This window comes from Homo sapiens, chromosome 5 (assembly GCF_000001405.40).
Source record: "Homo sapiens chromosome 5, GRCh38.p14 Primary Assembly".
NCBI classification, from domain to species: Eukaryota; Metazoa; Chordata; class Mammalia; order Primates; family Hominidae; genus Homo; species Homo sapiens.
This window is the reverse complement of record NC_000005.10, coordinates 36,475,984-36,490,032: the sequence shown is the minus strand read 5'-3', so window position 1 is coordinate 36,490,032 and position 14,049 is coordinate 36,475,984. Positions and strand designations below refer to the sequence as shown.

Sequence of the window (14,049 nt, the reverse complement as noted above, 5' to 3'; positions counted from 1 at the left end):
ACTTTAAACTATCCCTTCAGCCTAATCATTAATTACTTTTAATTAGATACAAATGTTGCCATAAGAATCAGATTCTCTTTCTAACTGGCAAGAGCAATAATGTGTGCCGTCACAGGTTTTTCATCAAATGATATGTGACACAGCTCATCTTAGGGCTCATCTGTAACCTTCTAGACTTCAAAGGCAGTTACAGCTTTATGTGCTGGTTTGCAGTTTCTTTTGCAGCCTCTGCATAACACACTTCTTTTTTTTTTTTTTTTTTTTTTTTTTTTTTGTAGACAGGGTCTTGCTTGTTGCCCAGGCTGGAGTGCAGCGGCACGATCATGGCTTACTGCAACCTCTGCTTCCCTGAGTCAAACCATCCTCCCACTTCAGCCTCCCGAGTCGCTAGGACTACACAGGCTAGGCTAATTTTTAAATTTTTTTTTTTGTAGTGATGAATTCTCACCATATTGCTCGAACTCCTAGACTCAAGTGATTCTCTTGCCTTGGCCTCCCAAAGTGTTAGGATTACAGGCATGAGCCACTGTGCCCAGCCAATACACTCTTGAGATTCATGTGAATTCTATTCCCCTCTTTCCTACCTGGCCTAAGATATTAGGAGAGCAGTAGATCAGTACCTCCCAATTTATTTGTGTGGCTGATTCTTGATTATTTCCTAAGGCAGAGCATAAGAGGAGGTTATGGGCTACCCCACATCAAACAAAAGTAAAAGAAACTCTCTTGTGACTAACTATAGTCAAAATTCTTTGGAGACCTCACTTTGACAAGACTGCACATTATGGCCAGGCCCAACCCCAACCACACTGGAGATTTGTCAAGTGGGGAAGGGGTTGGAGAAGCCAACGGAGGGTCCCCATCTGTTTCAACCAGAGCAGTTCAGTTGATGATTTGGTTTCTTTCTTCTCCCCTGAATCAGCCGTTGACTGATTTTTAGTCCCACTAGAGAAGTGAATTTATTCCACTTCTCTGCTGTGTCTTGGGTCCAAGAGAAAATATTAGATATGCAGAGCAATGGGAAAATTCAAGATAGTGATGTTCAGAAATGCAGGCAGACCAGCCAGGTGCGGTGGCTTATGCCTGTAATCCCAGCACTTTGGGAGGCCAAGGTGGGTGGATCACCTGAGGTCAGGAGTTCGAGACCAGTCCGGCCACCATGGTGAAACCCCATCTCTACTAAAAATACAAACATTAGCTGGGCGTGTTGGCGCACACCTGTAATACCAGCTACCCTGGAGGCTGAGGAAGGAGAATCGCTTGAACCCAGGAGGCGGAAGTTGCAGAGAGCCGAGATCGTGCCATTGCACTGCCTGGGCAACAAGAGTGAAAAAAAAAGAAAGAAAGAAAGAAAGAAAGAAAGAAAGAAAGAAAGAAAGAGAGAGAGAGAGAGAGAGAGAAAGAAAGAAAGAAAGAAAAAGAAAGAAAGAAAGAAAGAAAGAAAGAAAGAAAGAAAGAAAGGAAGGAAGGAAGGAAGGAAGGAAGGAAGGAAGAGAGAAAGAGAAAGGAAAGAAGGAAGGAAAGAAGGAAGAAAGAAAGAAAGGAAGAAAAATGCAAGCAGACAGTGTGTTCTGTCCACTGGACTCCAGTCCCTGGGCGAGGGATATGTATGAACAAGGCAGGACCCCAGTCTTGAAGAAACTGGTATACAGAGCAGGCTATCAGAGCAGCGATTAAGGACCAGAAACTAAGAAAGATACCAGGATTCCCACCACAACTCCAGGAATCATATAGGTCGGGTGTGAGAGAGACTCCTAGATCTCCTTCAGTATCCCTCTCCCCTTTTCAAATGGCATAGGATACCTAGCCAAGTGCAGGGCCACTCAGCTAAACACTTCATTTCCCAGCCTTCCTTGCAGCAATATTTGGCCACCTGACTGAGTTCCGGCCTATGGTATGAGAATGTAGGCATGACATGTGCACCTTTCTGGAAGGGGCGGGTATTAGTCGGCTCAGACTACCACAACAAAATACAATAGACTGAGAGGCTTATAAACAACAGGAATTTATTTCTTACAGTTCTGGAGCCTGGGGAGTCTAAGAGCAAGGTGCTGGCTTGGTGGGGTTCTGGTAGAGGCCTTCTCCTGGCTTGCACACTGCTGCCTTCTTGCTGTGTGTTCACTTGGTAGAGAGAGAGCAAGCTCTCTAGTCTCTTCTTATCAGAGCACTAATCCCATCATGAGACTCCTACCCTCAGGACCTCATCTAAACATAATTACCTCCCAAAGGCCCCAACTCCAAATACTATCACCTTGGGGGTTAGGGCTTCAATACATGAATTTTGGAGGGACACAAATGTTCGGTCTATAACAGACTATGTCCTCCTTACCTTTTCCTCTCCTTTCCCCAGCTGGAATGGGGACATGCCAGTGGACCATCATGGATCATGTAGATCAGTGTAACATCCTAGGGACTGGCAAAGCAACAAGATATAAGGAGTATGTGGCCCTGACCAGTTGGGGGGGAGCCGCCATGCCAGCTCCAGTTTCTATGTGACAGAGAAATAAACTTTTGTCTGCTGTAAGCATTGTTACTTTTGGTCTCCTTTATAAGCAACCGATCCTATCCTAACTTGGTGACCTTGAAAGTGAGGTATAAGTTTCCCTGGGGGATAAATATCCTCCACTGGATATGAAAACCCTTATAATTTTAAGGGAATCAATTGCCAGATGTTTAAACTTCCACATAATGATAAATGTTGTGATGGTAATAATAACAATACTGAAATTGAAAAATTAACTATGTTTCATGCACTTCACTGACACTAATTCACTGAACAAATCTTAAACAGATTCCTTCCTAAAATTAGTCTACCTTAGAACATGCCTGTGGTTGAAACAATTTCCATTTCTCACTCCACAAATGCCCTTTTTCTCCCACTTCAAAGAAAAGGTGTAACTCTAACTCATTCCAAATCTTAAAATGAGGACTTGCCCTTGAGGCAGTGTTTCTCAGACTTAATTCTTATCACCTTCTAAGGAGCCTTTTGGACATTTTTTGGTAATCATTCCTATTATGAAATTTTAATACAGTACATATGCCGCTGGCCCATGATAGTTCAATTTATGATGGGTTTATATGGACTTAATCTAATTGTAAATCAAGGAACATCTGACATGGTTCAACTTTTATTGATTTATCAAAATGTAACCCCATTGTAAGTTGAGGAACATCTGTACCCTGTATATCTATTTATGTACTGTGCATATCTGTGCTTTATACATATAGGAGTAAGATATTTTTCATCTTTTAAGAAGCAATTTTTGTCCCCATCAAGAAAGCATGCTCCAGAATGTAAAAACCTATGGGGCACTGTATTAGTCTGTTTTCATACTGCTATTAAGAACTGCCTGAGACTGGGTAATTTATAAAGGAAAGAGGTTTAATTGATTCACGGTTCAGCATGGCTGGGGAGGCCTCAGGAAACTTACAATCATGGCGGAAGGCGAAGGGGAAGCAAGGCACCTTCTTCATAAGTCAGCAGGAAGGAGAAATGCTGAGCGCAGGGGGAAAAGCCCCTTATAAAACCATCAGATCTCAAGAGAACTCACTAATTATCATGAGAACAGCACGGGGGAACTTCACCCCATGATTCAATTACCTCCACCTGGTCTCTCCCACATGGGGATTACAGGGATTATGAGGATTACAATTCAAGATGAGATTTGGGTGGGGACACAAAGCCTAACCATATCAGGCACCAAAGGACTATTTGAAATACTGGTGTTGGTGTGAGAAATTACGTGAGTCTATAATTGCATAAGAAATCTTTTGCAACCCATATGATTTCTGATATTTTGTTTTATAAAAATTCAAGGAGGAATTGTCAGCTGATAAATCATTAAAATTAGCTTAGAAGGAGTTCAAAAAATTAAATAACATTGCTATAATAAAACTATTTCCATTTTCATATAAGTATTTGAATAAATAAGGTTTCTCAGGACTTTCATATGTAAAAATGAAAAATATTAGTATAATTAATGCTGAACACTGAATCACTCTAACATTAAGTATTATGTATTCATAGAAATAATTAAAATCAGTCCCATTCATTTAGATATGCATTTCCAATAAAATTTCCTTTTTTATATTTAATTATTTATAACATACTTACGTTGATTTTACCAAAATTATAGTGATAACTAAACTCAGGAGATATTTTCCAACTCTTTTAGTGATAGGAAATTTTAAAAAAACATTAAATTTTTAAAAATTAGGCCAGGTACAGTAGCTTATGACTGTAATCCCAGCATTTTGGGAGGCCGAGGCAGGAGGATTGCTTAAGGCCAGGAGTTCAAAACCAGCCTGGGCAGCATAGTGAGACCTTGTCTCTACAAAAAATATTTTTTAAAAAAGCTAGCTTGGTGTGGTGGTGTGTGCCTGTAGTTCTAGCTTCTTGGGAGGTTGAGGTGGGAGGATTGCTTGAGGCCAGGAATTCAAAGTTACAGTGAGCTATGATCACACCACTGTACTCCAGCTTTGGCAACAGAGTAAGACTCTGTCTCTAATAAATAAATAAAAATTAAGTGTCAGACTATATATCTGAATATCTATCTCTATAGATAGATGAATATGTATATGTATTTACACATGTATATATATATCTCCCATCCAAGTGCTAACCAAGCCCAAACCTGCTTAGCTTCTGAGATCAGACGAGATCAGGCTCATTAAGGGTGGTATGGCTATAGGTAATCTTTACATACCATACATATGATTATCTATATCTATAAATAAACATATATATTTTGAAGAGAAAATGGGATGAAAGAGTTAAAAGACTATAAGAATAAAAAATATTATATTGGATGAAATTATATGGGGGAAGTCAGATGGAAATACAAGTTTAAGAGGAAAATGCATTGCTATAAAATTTCTAACTACTAAAAAAGGACTTGTTTATGAACATTTTGAATAGATGAATGAATGATGGTGGGTGCCAAATCATAATTTTTAGATTCTGTTTACTACGTTTAAAAGAGTCCTGTAGACCAGGCGCGGTGGCTCACGCCTGTAATCCCAGCACTTTGGGAGGTCGAGGTGGGTGGATCACAAGGTCAGGAGTTTGAGACCAGCCTGGCCAATATGGTGAAACCCTGTCTCTACTAAAAATACAAAAAAATTAGCCAGGCATGGTGGCACATGCCTGTAATCCCAGCTACTCGGGAGGCTGAGGCAGGAGAATTGCTTGAATCTGGGAGGTGGAGGTTGCAGTGAGCCGAGATCACGCCACTGCACTTCAGCCTGGGTGCCAGAGCAAGATTCCATCTCAAAAAAAAAAGAGTCTCATAACATTTTAATTTTAAAATGCCAAAATATACAACATGCCAGAAAAATATCAATATCCTTTGCAACTATTTAAACTAATAATATATAATGTTAGATATCAACTTAGAAATGAGTGAGATTATTGTAAAAGTATTTCGAGGGCTGTGAAGTGAAAAAGATTAAGGATGCCTGTCCTAACTAATGCATGAGGTCAGAGTCTAACTGGCAGCTCTACTGATGATGCCAAGTGACCAGAGTCGGGTGGAAGTTGCCTGCATTCCACTTCCAGTCACCACTTATGGCAACTGGGAGTGAGACCAAGCCCATAGGTGGCCATGAAACAGCCCTTAGGGTGATGAGCGAGAGAGGGCAGAGTCTGGGAAACTGGGATACGCCTGCTGTTTGGCACAACCACTGCTTCTTCACCCTTCCCTTCTGCATGGGGTCAAGTGGTGAGTAGCAGTTCATGAGGGAATGGCACACCTCGGATATCTCCCCACCAAGGGCCTCCACCAAAGGCCACCTGCAACCTTGGCTTCCACCAAGTTTCCTGGGACCTTTTTCCCCCTCCAGCTGTTTTCAGCTCTTATTATTATTATTATTATTATTATTATTATTTTTTTTTTTTTATTATTATTAACAATTAGAGACAGGGTCTCAATATGTTTCCCAGGCTGGTCTTGAACTTCTGGCCTCAAGCAATTCTCCCACCTTGGCCTCCCAAAGTGCTGGGATTACAGGTGTGAGCCTCCATGTCCAGTCAGCTCTTGCTGTTCTGGCCTTCTCTTTTCTCAAAAATGTGGTCCATGTCCACTTGTGTATTACAGAATAATCAGAAGCACTTGTTAACGTGTCACTTTTTTGTTTCACTACAGACCTACTATATTGGCATCTCTGGGAGTAAGACTCAGAGTTTTGCATGGTTAACTGTTCAGCATAAGAATTACTTCTTTATGCGTCCATAACTTGTAGTAAGCAATGATGATGAGTTTCTTTGCTTACCATAGAATTTAAGCCTGGGTGTTTGGATTAAAAATACCAGGAAATGGAGATGCAAATCAAAATGGATGTCAACTTGTTTTACTCTTGGATGACTAGCAGATACTTACTGGGGCCTTCTTGGCTTTATCTGGAGAAGCAGGAAGAAATAAATAACGTTCAGAGCAAGATTAAATGAATTTCCAAAAAAGGGGAAAGTCACAAAGCAAGGCCTCTTCCAGACTGACACTTAGGACCATGGCATTGGACAAATGTTTACAAATGTTCAACATTGACAAAACAGTGGATGGTTTCAAGCACTGTACTGTACTGGTTGGATATCATTCCAGCCCTGAGAGTTGGATCAAAGTTTGAACTAGTCCAACACAATAATAATCAGAAGCCAGGAATAGGTATTCCATTCAGGAGAGGCTCAGAAAGAGATTGGGTTATAATAGAGTCTGTATTTGGTAGAGTCAGATTCAAGACCTGCTGATTCTTTGCGAGTAACTGAAGGAAGGGCTTCATGAAGATGTAGCTAGCAGATGGATCCTCTTGATATCACAGAAAAGGGTTTACTTAAAGAGGTGGGTAAAAATGGAATAGACACACAGGACCTCTATTTAATTTTCTGCTTTTAAATACCAGCAATTGTCTCTCTTGATCAGCTACTTAGGCCATGTTTGAAGTTCAGATCACCCCCCTTGATTTTCTCTGAGTTCACTGCATAGTTTCTTGTGGCATTGGTTATTAGAGTGATGTTTTCAATTGTTGAAAGTAATTCAAGCAAGGCAAAAATGTTTGCTTTGTGCCAGGCCTAACAAACTTGGCTTCCCTCATCTAGCAAGACTTACTTTTTTGTGCTTTGGAGAAGGGAAGACTCACTCCCCAGTAGAAGTTCTGCAAGAATAAGTCAAAAAATCTTAGGGATTATTTTTACCTGTCTGCTGGTTATTTCTAAGTTTGGGGAGTGTGGCATTTTCAGAAACAACTGTTTGGATGAGAGAAGAGTTTTGAACTTTTCTGGAGAATTATAATTGCTTCTTTGATTTCACAACACCTCCATCTTGTCCATTACCACCTTGTTTTTACAATAATTTGGGGAATTAAAATAGTTTGTTTTGAGAAGTTAGGGCAAAATTTCATGATGCTTCTGGGGGTGAAATGAAAACCATTGTGGTTGACAAAACCAGGAATGAGGATTGCTCCTATTAGACTAGAAATATCAGAGAGTGGTCTCACAGGGTATTAATAGTCCTCAGTCTTGGATGTTTGTAATGCAACACTTTGGTTTCTAGCACAAATGAACAATTTGTTTCTAGTCATTTTTTTTGTATCTCACTTACATAGGCCACATTTTTTCCATTTATTATATTTACTTAAAAATAGTTTTAACTCACCAAAACAAAATGGGTAGATATAGATATCTGCCACGTGTTTTATTTTCCCTGTTTGCCACTCAAATCACTTGTTCATTCAGATTAAGGGAAAATACATCATGGTTTTCTTACCTATCCTTTCCTTTCCAGTCTGAATCACTTATGCTTTGTTTGACTGATCATTCACTTATCTATTTACTCAGTTGACAAATATGTATTGAGCACCTATCATAGTCTCAGAACTGGACTAGGCATTGGGATACAGGAAGATGCATTTCCTGCCCTCAGGAAGCTTCCACTCTATTGGAATTCTCCATGTGTTCCTCTCAGGATCTTTATGCAGACCTCCTGGGAGGTAATCAGTCTCTTCACTATATGCCATCAAGACCTGGTGGGGCACTTCCTGGACTGTACGTTTATTCAAGGACCAGGTGCAATGTACTTCAGCTGTTTGCATTCTCTCTCATGGGACAAGGCTTGTGTGAGCTTCACAGCCCCCTTGACCTGGCTCTCAGGGAGGCCACGCAGAGGAGTTCTCCTGAAATGCTTGGAAGTTGATGACACACCTTGAGCAAATGGAAGAAATTATAGTTACATATGAGCTGGGGCCTTGACTATAGCAAAGTAGATAAATACGTCCTTGGGGGTTTAGCTACAATCCAGGGGATTATGGAACAAATCTACCATTGTATGAGAAGCTGTAAATCAAATAACATGAGGCCTTCATTACATAAGGGAGATAATTCCCATCACCAAATGGATTTGAAAGCATCCAGACACGACTTGCACTGTGAACAGCCCTAGGTTGTCAGCCTGCTGCTGCATGTTTGTGGGTCTGCTGGGTTCAACTCCTCACGCTCACATAGCTCTGCCTGCCCTCCCAGCTATGAGGGAAGGGACTCACTTGCCAGCTTCAAGGCTTGAAGAATGCCTTTTTTTTTCTTGTTTCAGGAGCAGAGGGTTGAGTCAATTGTAATCCTCATCTCTTCATCCACGCATGGCTCCTCCACTGGTTTGTTTTCCTCTTCTGTCCTCATTCCCAGCTCCCATTCCTCTTCCTTAGGTATTTGTTTTTAAAATGTATGTTGTTTGGTCTGCATATATATTTTTCCATCTTTTAATTATAACCATATTCAGACATAGTGGAAAGTTGAATGAATGGTACAGTGTACACTCTTATACATACTACCTGGAATCAAACATTTCCTAACATTTTGTCATACTTGCCTAATTTTATATAGGTTTTGGAAAGTAGGTGGTAGACATCATCATAAATCATCCCAAAATATTTCAGCATGCTTCTCCTAAAAAGAAAGACATTTTCCTACATAAAGACAGTGCCATTATCACACCTAAGAATGTTCACAGTAATGATGTAATTTTATCTAATGTTCAGTTCATATTCAAATTTTCCTAATTACTTAAACTGTTTCTGTAGCCTTAATTAAAAAATTAGAATTCAAATAAAAATATATACATTGTGTTTAGCTAAATATTTTAAATCTCTTTATTCTAGAACAACCCTCCTCTTTTTTAAAAAAAAATGGCATTGACCTCTTGAAGAGATGAGTCCAGCTGTCTTATAGAATGTCCCTGCTTGTGGATTTGTCTGAATGCTTTCTCATGAATATGTTATATTTGTTCCTTATGTCTTATATTTCCTGTAAATTGGAAGTTAGATCTAAATACTTGATTAAATTCAGATTTAAGTTTTGGCAAGAAACACTGCAGAGGTGATTTTATGTGCTTTATAATATTGCATCCTGTTAGGGGGCTTATAATTTCAAAATAGCTGTCTGACTATTTGCGATGTTAAATTTGATCACTCGGTTAAAGTGATAACCACCAGATCTTTGCATTGAAAAAGTACATGCCTTTGCAAATTAGCAAGCATCTGTGGGGGTGATACTTTCATATACTGTGAACATCCTGTTCTCTGACAACCTTTGCCTTAATAACTATAGTATCCATCAATGATTCTTGTCTGAATCAAGGATCTTATTAATAGTTGTAAAAATGTGATATTCTCATGCTAACATCCTTTCTGCATTTAGTAGCTGAAATTGTTCTGCAAAATAGAGCTTTTGTTCATTTGTTATGGATAAATGGATGAACTACTTTATTAAAAGGGAAAAACAATCAGCTCTTGGAATAATGAATTAGTGAAATCGTCACCGTCAAAGATAGCATATGAGGTTTGTTTTTTTTTCTCTTTTAATTTTATTCCACTTTTGAATGTCAGTATGAACCTGTGGATATCATTTATTCAAGATTTTACAATCAGTTATGGTCAGTTTTCTTTTCACTCCTCCAATTTCCCCAACATGGCCAATGGGAGCCCTGTACACATGGGAGCTGTCCCAGATCTGAATTTCTCTCTTTCTCTAAGGAGTCTTGGTTCCTTTGAGTGGAGGATGCTATTTAGATTGAGGCACTGGATGTGCCTATAGCTACTTGTTTAGCATGATTTCTATGCCCTATAGAAACTATGTTTCTATGCCCTGGCCTATAGTGTCTATGTTTCAGTAGACAGAGGTCAGAATTAAATAAACAAAATATTAGTTTATATTATTTCCAATTAAGTTTAATATTACTTGGTTTACTTAGCTTTGATTTTATATTTGTATCTCTTCTCTCTTACTATAAACTTCTTGATTTCCAGTTATACTGTATTTACTTAGTTTCTTTATTCTACACAAAATAATTTCAAAATGCCAATAGCATTTTTACCACTGACAATGAACCTAGTGAGTGAAGTTTAAGATTTATTTGCCTTTCTTTTTGCCTTGGAATATATCCCACTAGTGTATACAGTCAAAGTACTATGTTCAAAAGCCACTTGGAATAATTATTTCCTCTCATTACATTACAAATCTGATATAGAGTCATATGAATTTGTTTATTTTGAATATGAGTTTGTTTATTGTTATTTTATCTTATTTAATTATTTGAAGACGTAAAACATTTTCATCATGCGCTTTGTTTGTTTGTTTCCACAAATGGGTGTAAAAAGGGGGTTGGGGGACAGTAAAGGACCTGAGTTGCAGATCTCTAAAAAGTTGCTGTTGCTTTTTGGAAAATTAACACTTGAAATTTCCTTTAAATGCAGTCCAAACTTTCCAATCAGTTGGCTATCCAGTCCTAACGGTAATGTCAGGATTTGGGTTAAACTTGTTGAATTGCAGAGAATGTCTCAAGACAGTCATTTTTGTGGTGTGTGGAACAGTGTACTGATCTCTAACCCTGGAAGCCCAGGCACAGAATTAATGAGAGGTTTCATGTGTACCTAAAAGCATCTTTCCAAGAATTTATTACCCTTGTTTTGGCACATGTTCATGAAGGCCTTCAAGTTTGTGGTCAGCTTAGAAACTTCAAAATTTCCTTTAAAAACTCAGTTTGGGGATTGTGCACTTTTCTGGATGTGTGTTATATGTCAATAAAAAGTTTAGAAAGAAGGAAAAGGAAGGAAAAAAACTACAATTCTGCCTAAACCTCACTTCCTCTAGGCTAAACCTAGCATGCATACTCATCACCATTCCCCTTAAGCATTTCCCCAAACACTTGGGACGTAAGACTTATCTCTTGAATTGGCAAACTGGAGTATAGTGAAAAGAGCTCTCAATTTGGGGTGGAGCTCCTGACTCCAGAACCGGTTCTTTCACATAGGAGTTGCCTCTTGTGGTGCGAGACCCTTGACCTTGTTATTCCTTAATTTTCTCATCGGTGAGACAGGTGTAATGTATGCTGTCACAAAACGTGTCGTCATGGGGATCAGGTAAGGTAATGGATCTAAAAAGTGCTTCATTGAGTACAGAAAATGTAAAAACTTTACAATTATGGCTTGTACATGTCTCTATTATTTTTCTGGTCTGTTATGTGATTGTTATTTGGCTTCCCAGGTTCTGCCCTTGGCCCACTGCAGACCATTTTCCACCCAGTTGCCAGGAGGATACTGTCAGAGCATCAGGCCAGATCATGTCTCTCCTGGCCTCCATCTCTCCTGCTGCCTCTCAGCTCCTCACTACCACTCTGCCTTCAATTCCTCCTCTTCACCCCCTTTCTCATTCTATCCCAGATGCTGGATTTCCTGCAAGTCTTCAAACCTCCAGGTTCAATTCTGCCTCAGAGCTTTTGCTGTTTACCCTGCGGGGAGTGCTTTTCCCCAGACATCCTTGTGGTTCACTTTTTCACTTTCTTCAAGTCTTTGCTTTTCAATTAGGTCTCCTTTAGCCATTCTGTTAAAGTCGTACCCCTGACACTCCATAGCCCTCTTTCCTGCTTTATATTTTGACATAGTACTTATCACTTCCTAATATATAGATGAATGGCTTATTTATTTCAGCTATTATTTGCCTTTCCCCACCATATTATAAATTCCATGACAGCGGGGATTTTGTCTGTTTTGTTAACTAACATGTCCCCAGCACCTACAACAAGGCCTGACAATAAAAATTTTTAGTGTCAATGAATGACTGTTTGAAAGTCTTATAATCAGACAGAGAAAGAATAAGAACTCACATTTCTGGACACTTTTCAGTATGTAACTAGTAAAAATGAACCCTATTGTAAACTCTAATATGGATTCTCTACTTTCCCCCAGGATCTTGACCACCTGGAAGATATTTGTATAATCTCTTTGTACATTTTAATAATCCAGGAATGCTGCTTCTATTCCTGGATTATTAAAACATGTGTGGAGAAGCAGTAAATGCAAGAGAGATGTTCTCTGGAAAGTGGAGAGAAGCTGGACCATACCAGGCACATTTGAGCTAAAGCACTAATGAATTGTATGCTGTTGTGTTTTTGCACAGGCTTGTAGTATTTTCTTCAGCACCGTATAATTTGGTCTTGCAGTGTTTTAAAAGGCAGAATGATGTATTATACCATGGCATTTCCCAAACTGTGTGCCAGGGAACACTAGTTCCAGGAAATACTAATCGGTGCTCAAAGAAGAATAATGGTTCTGTGATTCTGACTCACAGTATTTATTCACTTAAGGCTCTGAGGAACCACACAGCTTAAAAATAAGTAAAGGACGGGTGGCCTTTATTTATTGACCCTACATATTGGAATAGAGAGACTTACTTTTTCACTGTTTATCTATTAACAGCCTACCTGTTCCCAGAGAATAAAATATAAATGAGTTCTAACATTTATGAAGATTTACTTTTCTAATTTTAAATTTTATTTATTTATTATATATATATTTTATTATACTTTAAGTTCTATGGTACATGTACACAACGTGCAGGTTTGTTACATAAGTATACATGTGCCATGTTGGTGTGCTGCACCCATTAACTCGTCATTTACATTAGGTATATCTCCTAATGCTATCCGTCCCCCCTCCCCCACCCCACAACAGGCCTCGGTGTGTGATGTTCCCCTTCCTGTGTCCAAGTGTTCTCACTGTTCAATTCCCACCTTGCGATAGTTTGCTGAGAGTGATGGTTTCCAGCTTCATCCATGTCCCTACAAAGACATGAACTCATCATTTTTTATGGCTGCATAGTATTCCATGGTGTATATGTGCCACATTTTCTTATTCCAGTCTATCATTGTTGGACATTTGGGTTGGTTCCAAGTCTTTGCTATTGTGAGTAGTGCTGCAATAAACATATGTGTGCATGTGTCTTTACAGCAGCATGATTTATATTCCTTTGGGTATATACCCAGTAATGGGATGGCTGGGTCAAATGGTATTTCTAGTTCTAGATCCCTGAGGAATCACCACACTGTCTTCCACAATGGTTGAACTAGTTTACAGTCCCACCAACAGTGTAAAAATGTTCCTATTTCTCCACATCCTCTCCAGCACCTGTTGTTTCCTGACTTTTTAATGATCGTCATTCTAACTGGTGTGAGATGATAGAAGATTTACTTAGTTAAAAGTTTCAGCACTTAAATAAAATATGTACACCAGGTCCATGACACCATGCCAGATTATTATTTTTTATTATTGTACTTAAAGTTCTAGGGTACATGTGCACGACGTGCAGGTATGTTACATAGGTATACATGTGCCATGCTGGCTTCCTGCACCCATCAAGTCATCATTTACATTAGGTATTTCTCCTAATGCTATCCCTCCCCTAACCCGCCACCCCCTGACAGGCCCCAGTGTATGATGCTCCCCACCCTGTGTCCATGTGATCTCATTGTTCAATTCCCACCTATGAGTGAGAACATGTGGTGTTTGCTTTTCTGTCCTTGTGATAGTTTGCTGAGAATGATGGTTTCCAGTTTCATCCATGTCCCTGTAAAGGACATTAACTCATCCTTTTTTATGGCTGCATAGTATTCCATGGTGTATATGTGCCACATTTTCTTAATCCAGTCTATCATTGATGGACATTTGGGTTGGTTCCAAGTCTTTGCTATGGTGAATGTGAATAGTACCACAATAAACATACATGTGCATGTGTCT

General features: G+C 39.2%; 1 pseudogene; it reads right to left on the bottom strand.

Annotated features, from left to right (window-relative positions):
- On the bottom strand, window positions 4,593-4,690 carry RNA5SP181 (RNA, 5S ribosomal pseudogene 181; annotated as a pseudogene).